This window comes from Homo sapiens, chromosome 6, assembly GCF_000001405.40.
Source record: "Homo sapiens chromosome 6, GRCh38.p14 Primary Assembly".
In the NCBI taxonomy this organism is placed as follows: domain Eukaryota; kingdom Metazoa; phylum Chordata; class Mammalia; order Primates; family Hominidae; genus Homo; species Homo sapiens.
The window spans coordinates 92,754,261-92,755,392 of record NC_000006.12 but is presented as its reverse complement, the minus strand read 5'-3'; the positions used below and the strand labels follow the sequence as shown (position 1 = coordinate 92,755,392).

The following is a 1,132-nucleotide window of genomic DNA, read 5'->3' as shown; positions in this document are numbered from 1 at the left end:
ATAAATAATACTATTTAACACAATTAAAAATCTCGATTCAAGTAGTTTTCAAAAGGATTCACTTTAGCCTTGGATATCTTCTATATAGCCTAGGGGAAGTGGACATATTCCAAATCTGTTGATCTTTTTCTCTAATTTGATTGTGTGTATATATATTAAATATATATATTTATTAATTTATTTTTCCCTCTATGAAGATTCCAGAAGTATAATTTGATTGTTTAAATTTGCAGGAAAGATAAATGGTATCTCTTTGAATGGATAAAATATTTAAACAGAATAGCTGTCTGTTATTGAAAAATTACTGCATTCCTATCAATAAGCTGCTCTGATACGCTAAGAGACTGCTTGTTGTCAGTGTATTTTAATTAGAGTGTACTATATGAAGCCACAAAAAGCCCCTTCGTAAAAACACACAGAATGTCAGCAAGATAGCCAACTTGAAGCCCTTGGCACTGTCCCCATCACAAAGACAACCAGAACAAATAAACTACATTTCAATGACAACAACTGAGAGAGTGCTGGAGTGAATCAGAGGAATACCAGAAACCCTGATGAGCACAGAAACTTGGGATGATCATATACACAATGGACGGAAATGTGAGGCTTTTATCATCCCAGCTCCCAGCTGGGATCAACTGGGAACCAGGAGGAACTTCTCCAGGTAAGCAAGAGTACCCCAGCAACCTCCATCAACCCCTTGGACACCTACAAACCTCACCACTGGGGCCGCTTGCAGTCTTCGCTGGCATTAAGTCCAGCTGAGGGAGTTACCTGGGGTCCACATGGCTGTGCTCCCTCCAAGAAGGAGCCAACACTGTGTCCTACCCCTGTGGCCCATGTCCTATTGCACTATGCCATCTTGGAAGTGACACTATGGTCGGAGTGTGTAGCCATGACTTTCCTTCATCCAAGTGCTAAGCTGCCACTGAACCTCAACAGACTTGTGGCCTGACATCCCCAAGCTGAGCTGTGATCAGCTGTTACAGCCTTCTCCATGGGGCCAATTAGAGGTGGAGCCCCTTCACCTACCCCTTGCCTTTCCCCACTTAGGCCACGGCTGAAGTAGTACCTTGCCCCATGGGAAAATAATACTTTGGCCACTCAAAGCAGTCATACTACCCTAGCGCAA

The 1,132-nt window shown here is 42.8% G+C and overlaps 1 annotated feature.

Annotated features, from left to right (window-relative positions):
* Positions 262-822: an enhancer, noted in NCBI's record as "OCT4-NANOG-H3K27ac hESC enhancer chr6:93464289-93464849 (GRCh37/hg19 assembly coordinates)". NCBI's record gives its function as "activates a minimal SCP1, AML or CMV promoter by ChIP-STARR-seq in naive H9 embryonic stem cells {active_cell/tissue: H9 hESC(naive)}" and the evidence as "EXISTENCE:reporter gene assay evidence [ECO:0000049][PMID:30033119]".